Raw genomic sequence first — 25,883 nt, 5'->3', positions numbered from 1 at the left:
TGGGAGAAAGGGCTTTGAGTATTTATTCACATATTAACTCATTTGTGCAGCTTGGCCTCATGCCTACCGAGTGCTGGATAATGACGCTTCCTAAGCCCTCACCGGGTACCAGGTGCTGACTGAGCACTGTACTTGGGTTATATCATTCATGCATTCATTCATTCATTGTAGCGCATCCATCCCTTGCTACAATCATCGTATGCAGTACTAGTCATCTCTGTATTTTACAAAAGGGGAAACTGAGGCAGGACCCTAAACACAAAATGCTGGCGAGGATGCGGAGCAAAAAGAACTGTCATTCATTGATGGTGGGAATTGAAATCAGTACAGCCACTTTGGAAGACAGTTTGGCAGTTCCTGACAGAGCTACGTATATTCTTACCACGCCATCCAAACATCATGTCTAAACACTGGCCCTCCCAGAATGACAGGCAGTACTTCCTCTCATGAGCGAACGATGATGGGGTTATCCTTCTGCAAGAAGTAAAAGAGATGGGCTCCCCAAATGCCCACCCTGCCATGGTTTAAATAAGAAGGAACACACTCTTTCACACAAATTCTGGAAATGTTAACAACAGTTTCAAAACCCTGGCATTTTCCAACAGTCAATTTTGGTCCAGTCCTCCCATCCTCGCCTCTCGAGAGTGCAGTCATTTTTTTAAATGGCTGATATGAGCCCTGGGAGAGACCCAGTGCCCCTCTTCCTACCGGAGCACAGAAATCCACGTGTGATTTCCTGGGTGTTGAGTCCCTGTTTCTCTGTGGGTACCCGGGATGAAGTTGCAGTAGAAGATATGACCAGGTAGGCTGCTTTGCCTGAGTCTTGACTCTTTTGTCCTTAGGAAATATGAGTCATGCCACCCAAAAAGGAGACAGAGAGGCCTGAATTCCAGACTGATCACTTCACAGCACCGTGAATGATCCCAAATTATCAGAAGCTGCAGCCGACACCATTTGATCTGAGTCCAGTCAGTTTTTGGAAGGACAGCTTTGAGGTCTGAAGTTTAAGGTCAGCTGGGAGTTGGGATGTAACTGGAAGGGTCTCCCTAGCGATGGTGACACCTTTGCCTGAGAGTTGCAAAAATGTAACACAGTGGATTAATTGGGGGGCGGGGGAGGGGAGGTGCGTCCAGAAATAGATATTTTGCCCAAATTTATAGTTTGTCCTGTTAACTGTAAATACAAATGTTACCCACAACAGGTACAAAATGTTCCCTTCGTCTGTTTCTGCAAACACAGCAGACCTATGAATGGACTCCACCCTCCTTCCCACGTACCTCCCTGTAATTCCGCGGCTGGACACTCAATCTCGTACTTCCCGCTTTACAGAGGCAAACCTAAGGCCTGCGCCATGCCTTGATAATGCAGGGAAGATCGCCCTTGAACTGGCTGTCTTGGTTTCTGTGAGAGACATCTTAGTGAACTAGGCTTGGGGATGAAGCCATCAAACTGCATTTTGAGCCGTTACAAGTAACAGTGAAATGGAACTGACCACCGCATTTATTGTAACAGCATGAGACCAGCCCAGTGGCCACTGACATCACCATCCGGTTCAGGAAGGCTCTCCTGAGCAACTGGTTTACTTTGACTGCTTCATCTTTTCCTTATTACTTTGGCTGTGGGGAAGCTCACAGACACATTTTGCCCCACCTTTAGCAACGCTGCAAGTATTTTATCTGCTAAGCCTGTCCCTAGCTCCATCTGATGTTTTTCCTTTTTTTCTTGCTGATTTTATTTTTACACTGTTTTTACATCTTTGTAAGCCATTCAATTCCTCTTTTTGAACCACCACCAAAAAAGGGAGGAGGGGTGTATCAATACAGAAAAATGTGTAAACTGTATTTCCAGAACTCCCTCACAGACAGCTAGGATCACAGCTGTGATTTCAGTTCTCCCATAGGAAGCACTGGAGCAAAACTTAAATTAGGTGGTGGGTGGGGTATTCGTTTGCAGGGGTAGATGGTGGCTTCAAGGGTCGTTCCCTGGACGAGGACTTGCAATGGCTGGCCTCCTGACTGTGGCCAGCCCTGTGGGGTTTTCTGGATGCCCAATGTAGGAGATCCAGGCTTCAGCTTGCTTCTCAAGCCTTTCTAAGCTCTAAGAGAGCATGTCATTCCTGTGTCAGATCCCTTCTGGGTAAGCCAGTTAAAGGGGTCTCCTTTATCTGCACCTGCATCCCAACTGATCCATTTTGCTTGAAAACAGGGAGCATTGGGTGGCAGCAAACACAGAACACAAAGCAAGGCTGCTCTCTGTGCTGGATGTCCCCGTCCCATCCAAGGACAGCTGGCCCCATAAGCGCATGTGCTGGGCCCACACATTAGGGGCGCTCAGAGACACCTGCTGAAGGAAGGCCAGGAGGAATGTCCCTGGGTCTATGAAACAGATGTACACTGGGCACGCTACCACTGCAGAGCCGGCACCTTGCCCTGTGTCAACATCACCCAACAGACAGAGCTGGACCTGTGGGAAAGGGAGGGCTAAGCAGACCCTGGGCTGTTTGTGCTGTGTGGAAATTGCCTTCCTCATGAACAACTCTTGGGACATCGCAATAGTCTGCCCCCCACCCCCTCTCACAAAACAGAGGCAAAGCCCTGTGATGCCTGAGGAGTTGATGATGAAGAAGAACGAAGACCCCGTCACGCTCAGTGAACTCGTCCCAACCAGGCAGACATCAGTGCTGGCAATGCGCTTAGACTCCAGGCTGCTCAGAGGAGAGAGGGATGCCCATGTTAGAGGCTGTGATGCCCATGCAGCTCCTCCCACCAGGTGGGGACTTACACGCTATTGATGAACACAGCTCCTGCTGGGCCCAGGGTGCAGCGTGGGGCTGTAGATGAATAAGAGGGCACCGGGGAGCCCTGGGATAGGGACCTGGCTCTGCTGCTGCTCTGCAATCTTCAGCCAATTGCTGAGCCTCTCTGTGCCTCAATTTCTTCATCTGTCACAGGCATAATGATCAGGCCCACTACCAATGACAAGGTATCCACAAGCGAAGCCAAGACGTGCTCAGACACTCCCCTGTACACCGCAATGTCCAGGGCCAGTGGGTACAGCCTCCCCCGGAGCTGTCCCTGAACTCTGCAGAGCTGCAGAATCTCCTGCTAGGCACTCCTAGCCACCATCAGGTCCAAAGCCCCAGTGCACAGATGAGGAGCTTCAGGCGGATGAATGTCTGCACCCAGCGCTCTGCAGGAGGACGGGCACGGTAGGCAGGCTGGCTCTGAGCATCCCAGGATGGGCCCTCCAGAGGCTGACTGGCCAGGGCAGACGGCCACCCCCAAATTATTTTGCTCCCAGAAGCTCAGAGTCCGGAGGGAGTGGTGTTCCGAGCACAGGCAGCAATTCATCTCCCCCGTCTAATCCAATCATCTCTCCCCCTGACTTTCAAGTAAATCAACAGTTTCTGCCGGCATGTCATGAAACTTTAGCTTACCCCAGAAATTCCCAAGCCCAAAGGACCTTGCTGACCCTAGAAGTTCTACTGTCTCCGCAGGACTCCTGGTTACCTTACTGGGCCACGTTTCTCATCTTCGTCACGGAAAGCCCGTCTGTATTGAGGAGAAGCTGCACACACACACAAACACACTCATCCCTGCTGCTGTGTGGGGCACACACAGGCAGAGACCCCCGCTCAGCGAGCTGGGGATAGGGATGACCATTTGCAGCCAGGGTCACAGAAACCTTTGGCTTAAAGCTCCTTCCGAAAGAAATGAGCCCCCTTCTTTCCTCTGCCTTCACCTCCTCTCCCACTCCACAAGCCCCTGCCTCCTTCCTCACAGCAGGAAAGTTTACACTGAGCTTTTGGAAGCAAAAAAGAATCCCCACCCACCCACCCTCCATACACAGCCAAAGGAGCCCAGGAGAGACCCTCACAGGACGTGGGGGCAGGGAGAGCCTCCTGAAGGAGCTTTCTCCTGTCCTGGGGCTGGACAGTTAACATAGCCAAGGTGTTTAAAAGCCCAGAAGCAGGAAACAGCTACAGGGTCACTCTAGTGTGGACAGAACGGCCCACTGGTCATGAGATTCAGAGCCACATGGCTTCCCTTCCAATCCTGGCCCTACCACTGAGCGGAGCTCTGTGCCTCAGTTTCCCCACGGGGTTGGATGCACCCACACACATCAACTCTGAGCACAGGGTCTGCCGCGTGATGAATGGAAGCTCTTCTGCTCCACTAGGTGTGGCTGGAGAGAAAGTTCCGGAGGGGAAGTAGACAGAGATGAGGTCAGCTCTGGCCTGCCTTCTAAATCGCATTCAGGAGCTTAGATTTCATCTGGAAGTCCGGAAGGGCTGGAAGCTCCCAAGCAGGGAAGTGGTTTTAGGAAGCTCCCTGGGTGCAAAGTGCTGTAGGCCAAGAATTAGGCCCACCTGAGTTTCCAGTGCGTTTCCCGGGGCCTGGAGCGGGGGAGGCAGGAAGCGGCAGCAATAAGGGGGCCTCACAGCCCTCTCAGATACAGGGGCCTCCTCTACATCAGGACAAGGGAGCTGGCCAGGAAGAGATGGCTTGGGTTTGGGGGCTGAACAGAACAGACTGAACATGAAGCCCGTTCCAGCGAGTGGAAGGACGCCTGCCCCAAGGTGGAGCTGGGGACGTATCTTGTCTGCCGGAGGGAACAGCTTGAGATGGGGGTCCCAGGCCTCCCGCACTCCAGGCACTCCCTCAGCACAGGGCATGGGCAGGCTGCCTTCCCAGGAAGAGCAATCTCTTCCAAAGCCCCATGACATCTCAGCAGCACCCTGAGGATGATCCACACACTGACCTGCAACAGGGACCAAAGTGCAACAGCCCCCAAGCCCCTTCCCAGGGCTTCTATGGAGCCACGGAGGCTATGAGCGGGGCTGGTGGCTGGAAGGAAACTTGCAACAGTGGCTGCTCAGCTCACACAGAGGGACCTGTGTTACCTTCCAGTAACTGGCAGAAACTGCCCCCGTTACGCATTATGAGCAGAGCAACTCCCCACTGAGCCCGAAGTTTTCACTCTACCGTCTCACACTCTCCAAGCCTCGGTCCAGGCACTTGCCTGGATGCACTTCATTTGCATTCTTTTTTCGGACACTAGGAGTCCCGGGTTTTTGACACAGAGTGTGTACTCGATATAAATTTGATGAATGAATGGTTGAATAAATGAGACAGGAGAGAGTCAGACCCTCCATAGAAGTGCAGTAGCATCACGACACTACACATCAAAGCTCATGCACCTTGCTGGAGAACTGCCTCCATTCCTTACTCAGACTGTTTACTTAGTCTGCTTGCAACACTAGTAAGAATAGCAATCCAGGTTTCTGGACCACAGGACAACAGAAGCATAAAATCACCAGGGGAAGAAATTCTAGAACCAGGTACACAAGCAGCAACAGGAAGTGACAGCTGAAAGTCTGGCCTCCAAATTCTAAAGGAAAGGAGATCTGCAAACTGCACCCACGTTGACCCAAGGCCTCTCAGCCTGGGGACATTCAGCCTCTACAAAGTCGCCCCTTTACCCAGTCCAGTCTCCTCTGGCAACATCGCAGAGCAGACACGGGTGATTCCAGGCACCATCCAGTGTCCAGCCCTGAGCCAGACACATGATAGGTACTCTATCAAGGATCAATAAATTGATTGCTCAGGTTTATTTGGATACATTTCATTGGAAAGTACTCTGTGATCAGACCTGTCTGCAGAGCCCTCAACCCTACAGCCCTGTCCTCATGCTCTTGACCATGACTTCGAGTCATGGAGAAACATAACAATTCTATTTGTTTTCTGAGTGGGTGCCTGCCAGATGCAGCTATATCATCTTTCTAATGCCTCCAACAACCCACAAACTAGAGACACTTATGCCCAACTAGGACACGCTTGGCAACCACGAAGATGCCCGTTTACTCCCAGAAAATTATATGATGCATTTTGGAGAGATTCTCATCAAAAATCATTAACAGAAAAGGCAATGTGTTTGCATTAAAAGGTGTCAGGCTTAGGTGGTGACAGCCCAGGTGCTGATACACCCATCATCTTGTTAAACACACGGACAACCCCACAGAGCGCGTGTTGTGGGCATGCCACATTGGAGACATGGGCGCTGCAGCTGTCAGAGCCAGGAAGCACCACGTGATGGGGGAGCAGGGTGTTGAACCCAAGACTCCCCATCTCCCTTCAAGTCAGCCTGACACCCCTCCCCCAGAAGACACTGATGTGGGATACACCAGGCCCACACAGAGTAGGCTCCACACACACAATTTTAGAATGAACAAATGAACAAACAAACCTTCTCGACATGGTTTGGATCTGTGTCCCCACCCAAATCTCATGCTGAATTGTAATCCCCAATGTTGGAGGTGGGGCCTGGTGGGAGCTGATTGGATCATGGGGACAGATCTCCCCGTTGCTGCCATTCTTGTGATAGTGAGCTCTCATACGATCTGGTTGTTTAAAAGTGTGTAGCACCACTCTCCACTCCTCCTCTTCCTCCCACTCCAGCCAGGTGAGGTACTGGCTCCCTGTTTGCCTTCCACCATGATTGTACGTTTCCTGAGGCCTCCCCAGAAGCCAAGCAGATGCCCGGCATCATGCTTCCTGTACAGCCTGCAAAACTGTGAGCCAATTAAACCTCTTTTCTTTACAAATTACCCAGCCTCAGGCATTTCCTTATAGCAGCACAGGAAAGGACTAATACACCTCCCTCACCCATGATGGATAAATGAGGCGGAGCCCTCTTCCAACAATTCCAAACCAGTGCACCCGAAGTTCCCCACTTCAGTATTTTCAGTACTTCACAGCATCTGCCTATGGGGAAAGGGGTTCCCAGTCTAACGTCTGTCCAGCCGGATCTGTTTTTGGGCTAGCTGGACAGACTGGATGCCAGGAAGAGAGGAGAAAGGGTGAAAGGTCACAGGAGGGAACATTGCTGAGTTCATAAAATCCAGGCTGAGGGCAGGAGAGAGAGATCCACATGTGTTTGCAAACCTAGAGTCAGGGATGTTAAAATGCAGTGCACGAGGCAGAGGGAGGGCTCTGTTCCGCCTGTGAGGGATGTGCGGAGGCCACATTGTCTCCATGTCAGAGCCCCAGCATGGTCCCCTGGACACCATGACCCACTTAACAAGCTCACTTCTGAACCAATCCCTGGGGCACTAAATGCATCCAAGCAGCCTGGGGGAGGGAGGCATGGCCTCCAAGCTCCATTCCCAGCTGGGCACACTGAGGTTCAACGCCACAGAGCTTTCTAATGACAGAGCCAGCTTTTACCCCTGGATGTCCAGTTCCAAATCCACATTGAAGTCACAGTCTGCATTCACTCTTCAGGATGCTGTCTCCTGCAAGCTGCATGCCTCCCAGAAATCCCTAGCCAGCCCCATTCCTTTCCAGAAGCTTCAGTCTCTCAGTAGGGGTGCAAAGGTGGAAGGATGGGGCCCTCCATGTCCACTTACCCCTGGACGTCCACCCCCACATGCTGAGGGCTGATTACTGGGCACACCTGAGTCTCTCTCTCTCCCTCTGCCTCAGCCTCCTTTCTGGCCATGGAGACAGTCTCAGCCCACTCCTGGCAGACACCCGTGTTCCAGAAGCAGCCCTCCAGCAATGATGGATGCAAGTGGCTTTCAGCTGGGTTATGCCATGGTCCCCAAGACAGAGGGAGGACCGAGACAAGGATTGAGGTGCTTCCTGCTGGGCACACCAGGGAAAGAGGGCTAGATTTTCTTCTCTCCATCCACCTTCCTCAGCCTTCCATTGACAGATCCTCTCTCCCTGATTGGGATAAGACTGCCAGTTACTCTTCATTTTCCTTGATATGCATTTGTGTCTGTTTTGTGTCTTTGTAAATATTCATAAGGGATGCTGAGGGGCCTCATTGGAAGCTGCTAGCCAGATGTTGTTGAAAACTAGAAGTCCTTCCCCACCTCTGCAAGCTCATGTTCTAAAGCCCACTGAGGCACATGGAGAGGTAGCAGCCCCCTACTCAGAAACAACCCTGCAGCCTCCTGCTCTGTAGCTCTGTTCCATGTGGCAAATCCCTGAACTCCACCACATTGGTCCAGGGCCCACTGTGTGGGACACACCAGCCCTCAGGGGTGAGAAGAAATGATTACAGAGCAAAGAGGGTCTTGGAGAGCCTGTGCTGGTGGGGAAAGTTGGAGCAGGAATGCTCTGGAAATTTTTGCAGGGTTCTATTTGAAGAAACATTCCTTTCCACCTCCACCAGAGTTCAGCTTACGCCCTGAAGCGCGAGATCTGATTGCGATTATTGATGGCTGCAATGCCGCGGATGGTATTGTTCCTTCGCAAATTGTCCATCCCCTGGAAATTCCCAAGCCCCATCTCACGCTGGTGGGGTGCCCCACTCCCCTGCAAGATGCTTCCCAGGCCAGCTCTCCAGAATGAACCGGAAGGTCTCACCTCTGAGGAAGCCTGCATGGGCACGTGCCTAGTGATTTACAGCAGGTCCTAGCCTGTTTCACTTAAGCCCCCAGAACATAAATTTGACTGGATGCATTTACAAAAAGAAACTGGCATGCTATAGCACATATCTGTACATTCCATTATTACCACATTTCATTGATTCTAAGACCTCCATTTATTTTCCACAACTTAACATCTCTAAAATCAGAGTGTGGCTTATAATCAACGCCATTCTTCAGGGGTGAATAAAGTAATGATGCAACTTAGAGTGCATCCAAGAGAGTTTTTAGATGATATGAAATATACGCTTTGAAATTTTTGAAGACAGCAAAGCAAAGATGGCGCCTCTTTATTGTTGTGATGCTACCTCTCCTAGCCTGGAGAAACTTGCCGCAGCCTTTTAATACTATCTTATCGTAATGAGGATGGAGTCCTTGAAGATAAATTTGCACTAGAGGTAAGAAATTGTGCTCAGCGGTTAATCAAAGTTATCCAAGATGAGTCTCACGAGTCCTCAAAAGCACCTCCCATTGGAAACCCCATCCACGTTACCCCGCCCAAGCATGTGAGTGTGCACACACACCCTTCCCATATGCCAGTCATGTTGTCTCTGTTCTTAAACAGCCCGCAGAGCTCCCTGCTGCCCCTGGCTGAGGACAGGACTCCTTAGCGAACACCCAGAGCCCATCGCCCACCTGGGACCTGCCTCTGCAGCCTGGGGCTCCCATCCAGGGCCCATCCTTCCTGCCCCCAAACACCCACTCTCTCTGCTGTCTCGGGCCCCGGCATAGGCCGTACTTGCAGCTCTTCTCCACCTGGAAAACTCTTATTCATCCTCCAAGAACTTGGGCAGCCCACTCATGCCATCATTGTGGACTTAGCTCCTGCCACACACTGAATCCCACCCCAGGTACTGAGGACACCACAGCAAACGCACCCCTCCTGTGGCAGACGGGAGCCACAAGATGGACAGGATGATGAAGTCGATGGCATTTTAGATAACACGTGTCCCGGAGGGAAATGCCATTGGAAAGAAACGTGAGAAAGGGCTGGGGGTGTTGACATCTTAGATGAGTAGCTGGGGAGGCCTTCCTGTGAAGGTGGGATTAAAATATAGGCCTGAAGGAAGTGGGGAAGGGTATTCCAGGCAAGGGCAACAGCAGACACGAAAGGTGCCATGGCTGGAGCACGCCTAGCAGGTTCAAGGGGCAGCAGGGAGGCCAACATAGTTGGGAGGGAGAGAGGAACAGGAGATGAGGCTGAATAGGAACAGGGGCTGAATTGTTAGGGCCGTGTGGGGCCACTGGGATCATTAGACTCTTTCTCTGAGAGCAGTGGGGAGTGGTGAGAGGGCTCAGAGTGGAGGAGCGACATCCCCAGGGCAGAGGGTGATGTTTTGACAGGGTCCTTCTGGCTGCTGCTGGGCACAGAGGAGATAGAAGCAGCAGGGTGGGAGCAGGGGACCAGCTGGGAGGTTGTCCAAGTACCACCTACCTCCATGATCAAGCTTCCCACAGTAGCCTCATCGCTTGGGGGCTGGCTTGTGGTTGTCATGGAAATGTCCCCTTCCCTTAGCAAGAGCTGTGCTCCACTCTTTCATATGCCTGCCCAGTGCATACAGCAGCATCAAGCATGGGCATGAATGAATGGATGAACCAACAAACGAACAAGCGAGAACTGGAGAGAACGTAAGTATCCTAAACAACCCCTTGTTTCATTTCGGTGGGGCTGGGTTTCTAACCAGGAACTTCATTCCCCAGTGGGGTGTGTGGTTCTAACTCAGAAAAATAAAGTGTTTTTCTTCCTTGATGTTCTTTAAGTCCTGAAATTTCTATTTATTTCACATTTGGTAAATGCTTCACAAAAAGAAAACGAAATCTGTATTTTGGTCTTCACCTCCTTGACAGTGGCTTGAAGGGCAACGGATGGATCTAGGAGGGATCTTTTTTTAGTGGAAAGGCACATTTTAATTTTAGGTTAAGTGTTCTAAGCAACAATCTTCTTAGCAACAATTAGTCCCCAGACATGACTTTTCAAACATCCAGCTTCAGGGGGATGTGGTGTGAGGACCCGTAGCTGCGGGGCCAGATCCCACCAAACTCCCTCAGAGGAAGCGCTGGAGGGAACCAGACCCCAGGCCAGATCCAAATCATAATCAGGTGGTGCAAACAGAAAGGCCAGCACAGGTGGCTTCCCGGAGCCGGGGTTTAGACAGGACCAGCGCAGCTCCCCCTGCAAGGGTGAACGCAGCCGTGGGGAGCTGCCACTTGACGTTTATTTCTGGAACGCAGCACACTGGCGGGTGCTGCACCCACACGCGTGCTGTCAGCTCCTGGTGCCGCCTGCTCTGCGGCCCCGTTCACAGGTAGCATCCCCAAGCATCACATATGCCTCTGGATGAGATTTAAAATCCACATCATGGGCACGGTGGCTCATGCCTGTGATCCCAGCACTTTGGGAGGCCAAGGCGGGAGGATCACTTGAGGCCAGGAGTTCAAGACCAGCCTGGCCAACACAGTAAAACCCTGTGCCTACTAACAAATACAAAAATTAGCCACACATGGTGGCAGGCACTTGTAGTCTCAGCTACTTGGGAGGCTGAGGCAGGAAAATCGCTTGACCCCAGGAGGCAGAGGTTGCAGTGAGCCAAGATCTCGCCACTGCACTCCAGCCTGGGTGACAAAGTGAGACTCCATCTCAAAAATAAAAAATAAGTAGTACAATCCACATCATATTCATTTCCCAGGCTGCCCTACAAATCACCACACAGTGGGTGGCTCACAGCAACAAAAATTTATTTTCATCACAGTTCTGGGCACCAGAGGTCCCAAATCAGTATCACTGGGCTGAGATTAAGGTGTTGGGGGCTGGGGGGCTTGTTCCTTCTGGAGGCTCAGAGACAAAGCCATTCAGGCCTCTCACCCTGGCTTCTGGCGGCTCCCAGCCATCACTGGCATACCTTGGCTTGGGGATACATCGCTCTGATCTGGCCTGTCTTCACATAGCCTTCTCCTTCGTGTGACGAATGTCTCAAAGCTCCCTTTCCTTTCCCTCATAAGGCTCAAGCCATTGGATTTAGGGCCCACCCTAAGTCCAGGATGATCTCATCGCAAGATCCTTCACTGGATTCCATCCATAAAGATCTGATTTCAAATAAGATCGTGTTCACAGATACTGGGAGGGGTTAGGATACGGACATCTCTTTTTGGAGGACACCACTAAACCCTCAACACACATCACCTGGCCGCATGTCATGGTGCAACCGGGGGCCCTGGCGGCCCTGCACAACGGCAGCTCCCTTCCTGCCGGTCACTTGCCTGTCTCACTCAGGACCTTTGCTGTTCCAGAGAATGACAGTGCCATCCTCCTGGGACACCACCAGCACCCTGGCATCACCGGCCCTCATCCCAGCACTGGAATGTAAGCTCCTCCAGGCCCTCAGGCCTCTTGCCCAGCCCAGCACAGCACAGGGCCTGGCAGAGGTGACGCCCTGCAACGCTGATGCTGAATCGGCTGCCTGTGGGGCTCCTAGACCTACTCCCGTCAACCTCAACCCCCGCTCTGCCAACCACCAGGCCCCAGCCCATGTGCTTCTAGAAGTCTCCTTCCCAGGCCAGGCCTCCTCCCTGGAGCCTGGGTCTCCAGTCCTGCCACCTCCCTCCTTCCCTCTGCCTTATGAATTCCCACTCAATCCTAAAATGCCCTGAGTATCAGCCTCCTCCATCTGTGGCATCTCACTCACCCTAAGCTGAGGTCCCCTCCAGGCCCTCTCCCTGGGATGCCCATGGGCCTGCTACCTGCTGCACCTGCTTTAAGATGGAAGCAGTTCCAGCATCACCTCCTCCTGGAAGCCCTCCCTGCTCCTCCTCCACTCCCTGGCCAGGTTGTTGTCTCCTTTATGCTCCCTCCACCCTGGGCACTCCCTTCACTCACAGGTGGTCACCCACTCGTGTGTGCAAAGCCCTGCAGGCTGCCCTGGGCTTTACTGTCTGCATGGCCCCTGATACCCAGCAGGACACACATGGGCCCTCGGAGGTTTGCAGTTACCACTAATAACAGCAGTGCCTGATCCTGGCAGCCTCATTAACGACGGCACCTGATCTGGGGTGGCCATCGGCACAGCTTCCTTCAGTTTGACGGCCCCATTGCATGCTGGATGACGAGGGATGGGAGAGGGGTTGAGGGATTGTTAAGTGGCCGACAGGAAGCTCCCTGTCTCCCTCCTTGTCAATTACTTTCCAGGAAAAGGCCTTTGACAACTCCCCACATGCTCCCCACTAAGGTAAAGGGTTGAAAAACTCAAGGAAGCATCCTTTAGACAATGTGGCAGGAACCACAGGGATGTTCACCAAAGGACAGAAACCTTCATCCCTTCACTCCCACTTACTTACAGCTCCCTCTCACAGATGCAATGAATTCAGCCCAGAGGGTCCTCTGAATCCAGGGATCCTCCAAGGCCATGGACTGCCCCACAAGGGGAGAAGGGAGCTCCAGGGGCCCGGGGCCCACCACTCAGTTCACACCTCAGGCTGTGTAGACAACCAGAACCCCACCCACAAACCCCAAACCCCACACAGCCGGCACCAGCGGGCCTGCATCTTCCGGCTCCAGCTTCCTCAAGGTGTGCAGACTTCCCTGAGCATAAAGGTCACCTACCTGTGCCATTGTCACCTCATTCTACAACAGGAGCTGCTCGTCTCATCACTCACTGACGGGTTGACTGACAGACCCCCGATGACCCAGACAAGCTGGTATTTTTTTTCTTGAGACGGAGTCTCGCTTTGTTGCCCAGGCTGGAGTGCAGTGGCGCAATCTCGGCTCACTGCAACCTCCGTCTCCCAGATTCAAGCAATTCTCCCTGATTCAGCCTCCTGAGAAGCTGGGATTACAGGCACCTGCCACCACGCCTGGCTAATTTTTGTATTTTTAGTACAGACGGGGTTTTACCATGTTAGCCAGGCTGGTCTCGAACTCCTGACCTCGGGTGATCTGCCTGCCTCAGCCTCCCAAAGTGCTGGGACTACAGACATGAGCCACGGTGCCTGGCTGGCTGAGCTGGTGTTGTCATCCATTCCATCTTTCCTCCATGTATCCAGCGAGTTCTGCTTACGGGCCAGGGCTGGGGTGGCCAGGAGGAGATCTGCAGAGACCTCGCCCCAGCCTGCTTGGGTAGGGGCGGGGAAATAGACGCCCTACTCGACCCATCCTCGGAGCTGCGGCAAGTCCTTACTCTACCACCACGGGGGTTTCTCCAGGATCTCCCAGGCTCTGCCCTCAAGTAAGCAGGTGTTTTGTGCTAAGAATTGAAAATCAGCATCCACGAATTTAACGCTTAGGTAAAACAGGGAAGAAGTAGTTATACCAGAAGGGTAAGAAAGGCTTAGGAGAAAGGAAGATGCCTACTCATCTCTAATCATCACTCTTGTCTGTCCCGTCCCTGGTGGTCATAGTGTTTCCGCTGAATTAGAAAGTTTGATTCACTGATTCATGCAATAAATATTTATTGAGAAACTATTTCGTGCTTTGTGGGGGCTGCAGCGATCCAGGCTGGTACCAATAGCAGCCTGCGTTCAGAGGGCTTCCTTCCCTCTCTGTGGCCCTCCCCTGCCACACCTCCCCCACCCCCCACTGATTCTTCCAGACTGCCCAAAAAGCTGGCACTGTGATGAGCCACCGTCTGCAGAGGAAACACGCTGGGAGGCAGTTATGGCGTGGCGACAGGGGGCCGAGCTGGGACTCGAGCCCGGCAGCCTGACCCTGGTGTTTTAGGCTTAGCACAGCAATGCTGGAGCCACTGAGGCAGAACGTGGCCAGAGTCTTAGCTGAGGTCCAAAGCAGCAGAGTGAGAGGCAGCGTTCCCATAGATGCTGGGCAATCAGAGAGGGCCTCCTGGGGGAGGGGGTATCTGAGCTGGCCTTGCAGGAATGCTGAGGGCAGGGCTGAGTCCGCTTCATCCTCACACTGTGGGAAACCACCGGAGTGCTTGATGAATGAATGGATGACTCACAGCTAACAGGCTGTGGAGAGAGTAAAGACAGGGGCCCCAGATGCTTTGGGTAGGAACTACTGTTCCCAAATGATCTTCAGAAAATCCCTGGAGATGATCAGAGACATCCCGGGAAAGCTCAGAGCACAGAAGGTGGCACAGGGAAGGTGTTCAACGGGTCTCCTGAAAGAAAGAAGGGAGGAGGGCAGGACGGAAATGAGGGGCGCTTCAGCCCTCCACTCCCTTCACAGCTGCTCCCGAAACAAGCCAGGGCTCGGGTAGGAAGCTCCGACACTTCACCAGAGGAGTCCAGCATCTTCTCCCAACTTCCACGGAGGGACTCTGAATTGTTCCACCAAGCTGTGCCCTCCCAGGCCAGGCCACCCGCTGGCCTGCACAGCCCTATTGGCTGGGAGCTCCAGGGAGCTCATGATTTGGGGTGAGCTGGACCCAACTCGTGAGGGACAGAAAAGGGTCCCTCAGCTCTGTGGCACCAGGGCCCAGGCAAGAAACACCTCGGGCTCCAGAAAAAAGGGAAATTTAGGGTCAGGTCTGAGTCTTGTGGAAGTGCAGGGCCGGGAAAGGAGAACAGGGAGACAGGTAGGATGACACGGAGGAAGAGTAGGAGTCTGGGGAAGTGGAGGAGGATGAGCCGGAGGCTGTTTTTCGACAAACAACTTCAGCCTGAGCCCTGGTCCTGGGCTGAATTTGGGGACTGCAAACAGAGAGCAGAGCCAGCCCCTCCCTCTGCAGGAAGGGAATGGGGCCCAGCAGTGGACGGCACCACAGCCCCCAGGAAGAGATGTCCGTGTCCTGATACCTGCCCCTGCGAACGTGGCCTCATTTGGAAAAGGGGTCTTTGCAGATGTGATTAAAGATCTCCAGATGAGCTCACACTGGATTACACTGGGCGGCCCTAAAGCCAGCGATGAATGTCTTCATAGGAGACACAGACAAGAAGACAGGGGAGGAGGCCGTGTGTCCACAGGGCACAGACTGGGATGATGCCACTGCAGCCTGGGAACATCTGGAGCCATCAGTGGCTGGGAGAGGCAGGAGCCACCCCTGCAGCCTTCATGGGGAACGAGCCCTGCCCACACCTTGCTTTTATTTATTTTTTTGAGATGGAGTCTCACTCTGTCACCAGGCTGGAGTGCAGTGGTGCAATCTCGGCTCACTGCACCCTCTGCCTCCCAGGTTCAAGCGATTCCCCTGCCTCAGCCTCCTGAGTAGCTGGGACCACAGGCACACACCAGCATGCCCAGCTAATTTTTGTATTTTTAGTAGAGACAGGTTTTCACCATGTTGGCCAGGATGGTCTCAATCTCTTGACCTCGTGATCCACCTGCCTCGGCCTCCCAAAGTGCTTGGATTACAGACATGAGCCATCGTGCCCAGCCTACACCTTGCTTTCTGACTTCCAGCCTCCAGGACTGTGGGAGAATAAAGTTCTGTTGTTTTAAGCCACCCAGTCTGTGGTCCTTAGTTACGGCAGCCACGGGACATTAACACACCCCCGAATGGAGCAGAAGTCCCATGCAGAGCATGGCCCCAACTCCAGAGGCATCGGGGAAGCCTGGCGCCAGGGCGGCATAGAAGCTGGTGTCAGGGCCTGGGAAGGATTCTGAGGGACAGCAATGCTGGAGGAGCGGCCAGGCGGGAATGATGGCATGAGGCGGGCACCGCAGGGGAATGAGCAGCTTCAGGCTGGGGTCTGGCATGGCAGGGTGAGGGCAGGACTGGACATCGCCGGGGGCCTCTGGCTCCAGCCAGCAGCAGGGCTGCACGGAGAGGGTGCATCTCCCCTGCACCCTCAGGGTCTGGCCTGCAGCTGGAAGGGAGTGGGGGTCAGGACTGCAGAGAGCAGACCCAGGCATGGTGAGGGGCTTTCCATAGGGAGGCCAGCCCCTGCCTGCTCCCAGCACCCAATGCCCCAGGGCCGGCAAGAGCTCCGCCTAGTTTCAATCACAGGAGAAGAACAGCACCCTCAATTAAACGGGCCACACAGCACCTTCCCGAGAAGGACATCACCTCACCATCACTCCACGGAGAAGCCTTCCCAGACCAGGGGCTGAGTGCCCACCTGTGATTTCCTGTGGATAGCCGGTGGTCGGGAGACACTCGACGGGGTCCAGGCAGTGGTGGTGGCAGCTTGGTGCTTTGGGGGACACCTAAGGCCAGGCCAGCTAGGGGACAGATGCCCACACCTGCAGTCACTCATCCCATGCCCCTGGACAAGCAGGAGAGGGCCAGGGTCTAGGAGATCAGGGCATCCAACCCCTCACTGCACAGACAGGCACCCAGGTGCTGAGGGAGGTGCGGGACATGGGCTGCACAGAGCCAGGTCTGTTCTCTTCTCGCTTTGCTGGAGAAATACCTGCCCTCTGATGACTGACATCTGCCAGAACCTGCCCCCAGCCAATCACATCTCTTAGGCAGGGGACTTAGGGATTTCACCTCTGAGTCCCGCAGTCTCCACTGCTTCCCGTAACCTCAGCGCAGTGACCCTGTGTGGTCACTGTCTCTCTACTTCTCTGCTCCCCCATCCAAAGGGAGGGGGGCCTCTGTGACCTCAGGACCTGGCACTCGGCCTGGCACACACTGGATCCTCAGGACATGTGAGGAGAGGGAGTGAATGAATGAGTCAGTGAGTGAATGAGTGAGTGAGTGAATGAATGAAGTTCACCAGCTTGCCAACACCACGGCCCACGGTGGGAACGAGACGCACCAAGGTCCATGGTGCCCAGCAAGCTCCGTGGATGAACCAGTGTCCACGTCGGGGTGGAACTTGACCATGAAGGCACTTGCCCAGCCCTGGCTGTTTTGAGACACCATGAGGTGGGTGTCCACAGTGGAGTCTTGCCAGCCCCACACCAGCATGGAGGAGGAGCCTGCCAAGCAGCAGTCCCCAGGAGAGTCAGCAGCCTTGCTGGACAGCCCTGTGCCCCAGCCACTTTGACATACAGGCAGCAGAGACCACGGGCTTAGCTGAAGCCAGCTGCTGAACAAGGCTTCTTGGCCAAATGCAGGAGAACCTGGAGCCAGGAAGGAGTCCGTGGGAACTCCACACCAAGTTCACACACACAGCAGGTTCGCAATCAGGTCGGACACGCCCGGCTCCTTCCCAGGACAATGAGGCAGACGATGATGAACACCCGGCCAGCGTCCTGCCCAGCCTGTGCCACCAGCATCACAGAACCAGAATGACGGGTGCTTTCTTTGACAAGGTCCTTCCTGCTCCTCCAGGCTGGGCTTTTTCACAGGTGAGTTCAGGGAAACCAGGGAGGGGACCGGGACTCCTCAGCCTCCCAACTCTCAGTCCATTTTCCTTCCATTACACCAGGTGACCTCTCTACAGATTTCAACAATGACTCAAAGTCCTCTTATTACTAATACAACCGTCATTTATTGAGTATTTAAAACAATCTGGTTACTTCCCACACCTGCATTTGCCCATGAGGAATGGAGGGTGGTAATTTCACAGGTAAAGACACCAAGGCTCACTGGGGTGACATGATTCCAGATTTAATCGCAGGTCTCTGGTTCCAAAGCCCCTGTTCTTTCCTCTGCAGCAGTCGGGAAGCAGAAGGCAGGCATATAAACTGTTAGGATGAGTCCCTGAGACCAAACTGGGCAGAGACCTCAGTCGTAGGACTCCCAGAGCTCCTCAAACCTGGACCACGAGGTCCCACATTGGCCGTCTGAGCCCTGCGGTGATTTTCCCAAGAATGTCTGGGCTGTGTCCTGAGTCCCTCCACCTTCACCAGACACAGCCTAAAGAAAAAGCAGTGCCTAAATCCTGGCTGGAAGGCACACAAGACCCAGGAGGCATGGAAAGGGAGTCCCTGCTGAGGGCTGTGTGGAGGTCGTGTCAGTGTGCCCAGTGTTCCCCATGGGAACCCTCAGCAGGATGGCTGCACACTCCCAGCCCCCTCCTCAGAGGCCCTCCTTGAACCCCTCACCAAAGTGCCCCAGTCAGCTTCTTGCCGATCATCTTGTATATATTTCCCTAATAGAACCTATTGCTACCAGCAATTACCTGGGAATCATATTTGTTGATTTGCTTCTCATCTGGTGTCCTCCACACTACACTGGAAGCTCTGAGAGGACAGGGGCCTATGTCTGTCTTGTTACCACACTATCCCAGTGCTTAAGCAGTGGCCTACAGGAATAGGCCATGGATGGATGGATGGATGGATGGATGGATGGATGGATGGATGGATGGATGGATGGATAGATGGATAGGTGGGTGGATGGATGGATGGATGGATGGATAGATGGATGGATGGATGGATAGGTGGTTGGATGGATGGATGGGTGGGTGGATAGATGGATAGGTGGGTGGATGGATAGGTGGGTGGATGGATGAATCGATGGATGTGTTGGTGGATGGGTGGGTGGGTGGATGGATGGATAGATGGATGCATAGATGGGTGGGTGGGTGGGAGAATGGATGGGTAGATGGGCAGATCAGATCTTTCATTTCTGCTGAGACCTTTTGCCACCTCCATTATCTTCCCCCTGTATGAATGCCATGTTTACAAAGCTAATTTCATCACACACACTTCCACACCCAGAACCCCCATATCTTGCTCAAATCTATTTTGTATACACATAAAATGTATTTATCAATATTGTTCAGGGTTTTCCTTAGAATGAAATGCAAATGGCAAATTTCATACATAATGCAAATTTCCCAGTCGACACAAATCACATGGAAAGGATCCTCGGTCATCTGGCTCACTAATTTCTTTACAGTCAGAAGGCATCAGGGACCATGCCCACAGGGCCCCTTCCCCAGGCAAAGCCCAGGGCACAGCCTCTGAGCTCTCTCACCAGCAGGGAATGTTGGTGGAAAGGCCGGTCCCGAGGTGTTTTTTCCTTTTATTAGTACTCAATCCAGTGCCTCAGGCAGCTTGCCGAGCAGCCTGATTCCCGATCTGCTGTAATTGAATAATCAATTGCAGCTTCCTTAATAACTGAATTTATTAAATGCAGGATATGTACAGCTGATCATTCAAGGAACTAATTTGCAAGCCAGGGCTTTTGAGGGATTGTTTAAAGAGAGGATCCATATGTTTCATAAATCTGGGCTGGAGAGAAAGGAAGGAGTAAACAGCAAGGCAGAGAAATAAATGTCCATGGCATGATTTGCATTCAGTAAATATAATCTCATGCCTTGGCCACGCAGGCATGGCAGACAAACAGCACATTTACTAATGAAGCAACACCGTCTGCCTGACCACAGAGCTAAATATGACACATTTATGGCCGTCGCAGAGCCCTGTCTGGGCTGCTCTGGGAGACCCGTCTCTTCCCTTTGAAGGGTCTCCAAATTCTCTCGAGAGAATCACCAGCCCCTCTGGCCTCCACAAGCTGGATCAAACGCCTGCCTGCCAAAATGTAATGTTAGACGACAGAGCTGTTGACATTTGCCAATTATACAAGGTCATAAGGGGACAGAAAGCAAGAGAATTCCCAGGCTGGTTCCAGCACCCATCACAGTGTCTGACCATACAGGGGAAAGCCAGCATGACCATAAGTTAGAACTTCAATTCTCTGAGATGGCTTTTCCCAAGCATCATCCGACAGATGTTGACGAGTGCTCTAAGGTAAAAACAACAACAAAACAGGGATCCGTGATCAACTAAGTTCAGTGCTATGAGCGCCTCAAGGATGACTCTCCACCTCTCTGAGCCTCGGTGTCCCCATTGTGAAAGGGCTCACAGACCCTGCTCGGGGGAGGTTGTAAGAACACGAGCAGCAGCAGGAGGAAGAGGGTCACACCATGTCTTCCCGGCTTTCACCACTGTGTCTCCAGCGCTAGTGGGCCTTCAAGGCCCTGCTGAAATGCCACCTCCTCCAGGAAGTCTCTCTGGTTCTGCCCTCCTTACCACCCTGAGTTGCCACTGACTTTCCTTCCCCTGAAGCTGCCCCTTAACTCTCTGTGTGTGTCTCTTAAGAGGCAGAGAGCTTTCCTACCTGGTTTACGTTCCCATATTTGGCATGTCACCTCCAACACAGCCCATGATCATTTGGGGTAGTAACCACAGCTCCCGTTCACTCATTCATTCATTCATTCCACAAACAACTGTTAAAAGCCCACTGGCCCAGAGTCAGTAAAGCAAATGACATGTTTGTTGAGTGACTCCTAGACCAGCCCATCAGTCAATCCATTGATGGATCAATCATAGCAATTTGTTGCTCAACATTCCTGGGAGGGGGGAGGTGGGAGGAGGCTTGGAGGCAGATAGAGGAGCCCAGGCAGAGAGTAAGTGTGGCTCCTCTGACCCTCCTATGATAAACCCACACAGCAGACCCCTTTGAGTGGCCACAGAGAGGAGGAAATCCAGCCCCTCAGGGGGCAACTGGCCAGAAGGCTCTGGGCATCCAGAGCAGCTGCCTCCTACCCATTCTTTGGATGCCCAGTCCCCTGACACCCACAGGGAAAAGAAAAGTTCCCACACATGGGTTCTCACTTGGCTGCCGAGTTCTGAAAGGGAAAAGGGGAGAAGGTGTCTCTATTCTGCCTTTCTCCAACCCAAGCCTGGGAGGGCAGGAGAGGGGAGTGAGAGGGGTATGGTGGGCAGCAGCAGCGCAGATGCAGGAGCTTCTGTCATTCCCCCAAATCACCCTCAGCCCCTGCCTGCACCAGCCTGGGCTGTCAGAGGAAACTCTGTCCTGCCCAACAGGCTGGGTGGCCCAATGGTGAACACACAGGCTTTGGCGTCAGCTCCACGCATGAGCAAATCTCCAGTCCTCCACCTCATCCACAGCAGTGCAGGGGGCCGACTTCTCCTCTCAGAGTCTCAGGTCCTCATCTGTAAGATGGGGAGATGCTGTGAACCCCAAGGGCATGTGATGTGTGAATGAGATGATGACTAGAAGAGAAACAGGAAATGGAAGACAGCGTGGGGCCTATGACCACCTCCTCCTCGGGCACAGCCAAGGTAGGGCGGGAGGCAGGAGGGGAGGCGGGTACTGCTACATCAAAGGATGGGCTGGCCTGGACAGGGCATGAGGAGCAAGAGGGCTCCTGGGAGGGGCCACACCAAGGGCCACCCCTGGGCCTGACGTCAGGGACAGCTCCTGTTCCAGGGAAAGCACAGTGCTCTCACCAGGAAGAGCGCCCTCAGCACAGCAACCATTTCTCAAACACCTGCCACATACCCTGGGCCTACGAGTACAGAGTACAACCCCTGTGAGCCCCGTGATTCTATCTGTGCTTGAGAATGTGGGTTCTGAGGAGATCCTGAGTCCCACAACCTGGGTTCAAATCCCCCAGTCATGGAATTGAACTCTGCGGACCTCAGCTTCCACGTCTGTAAAATGAGGATGATTGCATCACTTTTTAATTGAGTATGGTAAGGATTAAATGAGATACATCTGTGTCAGCCAGGCTCTGCACAAGAAACCACATGGTTAATAGAATTTAAAGAAACGGTGGCAACAAAAGCCAAAACAGAGAAAAGGGATCTAATTAAACGAAAGAGCTTCTACACAGCAAAAGAAACTATCATCAGAGTGAACAGGCAACCTACGGAATAGGAGAAAATTTTTGCAATCTATCCATCTGACAAAGGGCTAATATCCAGAATCTACAAAGAACTTAAACACATTTATAAGAAAAAAACAAACAACCCCATCAAAAAGTGGGAGAAGGATATGAACAGACACTTCTCAAAAGAAGACACTTATGCAGCCAACAAACGTATGAAAAAAATGCTCATCATCACTGGTCATCAGAGAAATGCAGATCAAAACCACAATGAGATACCATCTCAGGCCAGTTAGAATGGCCATCATTAAAATGTCAGGAAACATGCTGGAGAGGATGTTTCCCACCGTTGGCGGGAGTGTAAATTAGTTCAACCATTGTGGAAGACAGTGTGGCTATTTCTCAAGGATCTAGAACTAGAAATACCATTTGACCCAGCAATCCCATTACTGGGTATATACCCAAAGGATTATAAATCATTCTACTATAAAGACACATGAACACATAGATTTATTGCAGCACTGTTCACAATAGCAAAGACTTGGAACCAGCCCAAATGCCCATCAGTGATAGACTGGATAAAGAAAATGTGGCACATATACACCATGGGATACTATGCAGCCATAAAAAAGGAATGAGTTCATGTCCTTTGCAGGACATGGATGAAGCTAGAAACCATCATTCTCAGCAAACTATCACAAGATCAGAAAACCAAACACCGCATGTTCTCACTCATAAATGGGAGCTGAACAATGAGAACACATGGACAGAGAGGGGAACATCACACACCGGGGCCTGTCGGTGGGTGTGGTGTTAGGGAAGGGATAGCACTAGGAGAAACACCTGATGTAGATGACAAGTTGATGGGTGCAGCAAACCACCATGGCATATGTGTACCTACGTAACAAACCTGCACGTTCTGCACATATGCCCCAGAACTTAAAGTATAATTTTAAAAAAAAATTTTTTTAAAAAGAAAGGGATAATCACAGAGGTGTGGACAGAGCCAAGGAGTCAGCAGGGGACACAGCGGAAGCACTCCGCCCCTGCTGGAAGCCACCACTCCCCCAACACTGAAGGAGGAAGAGGACAGAGCAGAGGTACCTGGGCGGGTGAGAGCTGTAGCCATGGGCCAGGGCTGGCCAGTGGAGCTGTGGACAGAGGAAAGCAGCAAACACAGCAACCCCAGACCTCAAAGAGAAAGTTGCAGGAACCCATCCCCCATCCTCGCCTTCCTCCCATCTCCTGTCGGCGCCTCTCGTTGACTGAACCCAATGGGAGGCCAGGGCCAGGGAGGCCAGGTAAGCAAGCTGTGGACTCACCTCCAGGGCACAGAGCAGGCAGAGAAGGACAAGGGGCTGGGGGAGGCCAGAGGAGAGTGGGCACACATGGGGTAGAGCACATGGCACCTTTCGGGAGCTTCCCACATGTGCACTTCTCTTCCTGTCACCACCTTTTACGGGTGACAAGCCTGGAGCTCAGGGAGGTGAAGGGACTTGTCAAGGACACACTCTCAGTCAGTGTGCAGGACACAAGCTATTTGAACATCTGGGAGACCTGTGGGGCAGGAGAGGGAGAAGGGGCATTATTAAAATGTGCGAATCTTGGCCGGGCTCCCTGCCTGGAAGAGCCACTGTGACCATCGCGATGCGGAGAGGCTCTCCCTGCCCTGCCGCCTCTCAGGGTCCATACTTACACTGGTTTCTCTTGGAGCCCCGGGGAGTTCCCCACCCCCACCACCCCCAGGCCTGGGTCTCCCTGCCCTCACACAGCCTTCCCCAAGGTCGGTGCTGAGCAAAACCAGCCCCCTCACCCATTTAAGGTTCTTGGTGGGCACTCCTGGCGCCAGGCACACGAGCCTCACCTCACCGCCGATCCGTCCTGCTGGTTTGCAGAGGCCTGGAGAGGCCACCATCTGTGTGAAATATCACTTCTGTCCTCTGGCCACCTGCCCACTCCAGGGCCCGAGGGAGCCCGGCCAAGATTCACACATTCTAATAATATCCCTTCTCTCTCTCCTGCCCCACAGGTCTCCCAGATGTTAAAATAGCAAAACTTGTCCTGTTCTAGAAATACTGAGAAGTTCCTATTGAGCTTCTCAAATCACCAGTGAATGCCCAGGAGCCATAAATTAATGACCCCCGAGTCTCTACCGATGACACCTACATCCAAAGGATGCTAGGAATGGGTGGCTGGGGCCGGTGCCCACACTCTGCCTGGAGATTCAATTCACTTGGATCCCAAACCCATCCAGCCCTATCCGGCTCTGCCAGACCGAGCTCCCCACTCTTCCCCCAACAGACCTCACACTCTGCCCCCAGCATGTCTGCTCATGCTGGACGCCCCCTTTCCCGACACCCCCATAGTCCCAACCCCCCATCATGCGAGACGCAGCTGATTTCTGCCAGGCTTAGCTGTCACAGCTCCCCCACTATTGATGGTAACCACATTACGTTCGCATCCGAGATTTGGGGTTTTCCTGCCTCCCGGGCTCCGAGCCGGAGGGCATAATCCATTTCCAGTTCAGCTCTGTAATCCCCCAGTTCCTAGCAAGGGCCTTTGCATTTGTGGGTATTCAATGAATAAATGAATGAGTGAATGAATGACTGAATATATCCCCACAGTTTAGAGTTCCTGCCCAGAGGCTGCAAACTGCCATCTGAGGAGCCAAGTCTCGGCCAGAGGTGGCTTTTATTTGTCACACATGGTGTTTTGTTTTTTGTTTTTTAATTTTTAATTGGTTGTCAACATTTAAAACCAGGAAAGCCCCCTACAATACAGACTTCCAGATTCTCTAGAATAATCAAAAGATCTGGAAATGCCACTCCCTGGTCCCTCGTGGCGGCCCTGGCTGGAGCAAAGAAGTGCTGTCCCCTCTGAGCGGGCATGTGCTCACCAGGCACGCTCTCCCCACTCTCAAGAGCCTCTCCCTGCCCCAGGGCTGTTCTTCAGGACACTTGCCCCAGACACCCATGGCCTCCTGGCACCTGAAGAGGTCCGAGTTTGTAGACCCTAGGCAAGTGAGGAGGCAGAGACCTGGAGAGACAGCACGACCTGCCCAGCAAGGCCAGCCCCAGTGGGGCCAGACCTAGGACCCCACACTCCAGCCCAGGGTCCCCATGCACCAATCCCGGGTCCCCACGCTCCAGCCCCAGGGCCCCACGCTCCAGCCCCGGGTCCCCACGCTCCAGCCCCGGGGCCCCACGCTCCAGCCCCGGGTCCCCACGCTCCAGCCCCGGGGCCCCACGCTCCAGCCCCGGGTCCCCACGCACCAACCCCGGGTCCCCACGCTCCAACCCCGGGGCTCCAGTGGCCCCACTGCACAGCCGCTCTGCCCAGGGCATGCCCTGGCCTGTCTGTGGCAGGTGGACAGATAACACCACAGGCCTAGTTAGATGAAAGATTGGAACAGATGGTTTCTCAGTTATGGCTGTGAGCAGAAGCTCCCCAGGAGCCGGCCCCCGCCTGACCTCTGATCCAAGCCTGAGAAGACGAGGCTAACCAGCTTCTTGAGCCCCGGAACTCAGGCCTGTCTCTGGACCACGTGGACAGGGAGAAGGCATCAGGCTTCAGGCTCAAGCAATCCATCCACTCAGAAGGGCTGGACCCCCATCACAGCCGCCTCCCCAGCACACCCTCTCTCCAACGCCATCTCCCATTCCTGCCTCCCACACTCCCTGACAATTCGCTCCAACTCACTTCAGTTCTATTTCACTGAGCCCATTCATACTGAGGCTCCTGCGTCTGCCAGGAACTACGGCACAATATGAAGATGAACAAGGATCTCCCTTTAGGTCCCAGATGAAAGCCGCCTCCTCCAGGAAGCTCTCCCTGCTTAGCCACCTGTTAGATTCTCCCAAGGCCCACGGAAACTGCCCGGGAAGCACTGGTTACACTTGCCTTCTTCTGCATGGGACTGTCACCTCCGCTAGGGCAGGAACCTGACCTGACCGCTCAGTGCCTTGCTGAGTGAATGGGTGGGTGAATGGAAGCCTGAAAAGGCTTGAGAAAGCCAATTCCT

At 53.2% G+C, this 25,883-nt stretch overlaps 1 protein-coding gene and 1 long non-coding RNA gene across 10 annotated transcripts in view, besides 3 other annotated features; both read right to left on the bottom strand.

Annotated features, from left to right (window-relative positions):
- The window catches only part of SORCS2 (sortilin related VPS10 domain containing receptor 2), a 550,290-nt gene that overhangs the window by 461,853 nt on the left and 62,554 nt on the right, over nucleotides 1-25,883 (bottom strand). The window lies entirely within an intron of this gene.
- Nucleotides 13,765-14,580: an enhancer, noted in NCBI's record as "H3K27ac-H3K4me1 hESC enhancer chr4:7268122-7268937 (GRCh37/hg19 assembly coordinates)". NCBI's record gives its function as "activates a minimal SCP1, AML or CMV promoter by ChIP-STARR-seq in naive H9 embryonic stem cells {active_cell/tissue: H9 hESC(naive)}" and the evidence as "EXISTENCE:reporter gene assay evidence [ECO:0000049][PMID:30033119]".
- On the bottom strand, nucleotides 17,751-24,163 carry LOC105374371 (uncharacterized). 2 transcript variants are annotated; one of them, XR_925105.2, is made up of 3 exons: nucleotides 23,676-24,163; nucleotides 23,185-23,419; nucleotides 17,751-18,138 (listed from the first exon to the last, which is right to left on the bottom strand). It is a non-coding gene; the product is annotated as an uncharacterized LOC105374371 (long non-coding RNA). The 2 variants fall into 2 exon arrangements; XR_925104.2 differs by having other exon boundaries at nucleotides 23,727-24,163.
- Nucleotides 22,653-23,153: an enhancer, noted in NCBI's record as "H3K4me1 hESC enhancer chr4:7259549-7260049 (GRCh37/hg19 assembly coordinates)". NCBI's record gives its function as "activates a minimal SCP1, AML or CMV promoter by ChIP-STARR-seq in naive H9 embryonic stem cells {active_cell/tissue: H9 hESC(naive)}" and the evidence as "EXISTENCE:reporter gene assay evidence [ECO:0000049][PMID:30033119]".
- Nucleotides 23,644-23,805: a silencer, noted in NCBI's record as "fragment chr4:7258897-7259058 (GRCh37/hg19 assembly coordinates)". NCBI's record gives its function as "represses an EF-1alpha promoter that drives an FKBP-Casp9 reporter gene in an ReSE screen in K562 erythroleukemia cells {active_cell/tissue: K562}" and the evidence as "EXISTENCE:reporter gene assay evidence [ECO:0000049][PMID:32094911]".

The sequence above is a fragment of the Homo sapiens genome, chromosome 4, assembly GCF_000001405.40.
Source record: "Homo sapiens chromosome 4, GRCh38.p14 Primary Assembly".
NCBI classification, from domain to species: Eukaryota; Metazoa; Chordata; class Mammalia; order Primates; family Hominidae; genus Homo; species Homo sapiens.
This window is presented reverse-complemented; position numbering and strand designations above follow the sequence as displayed.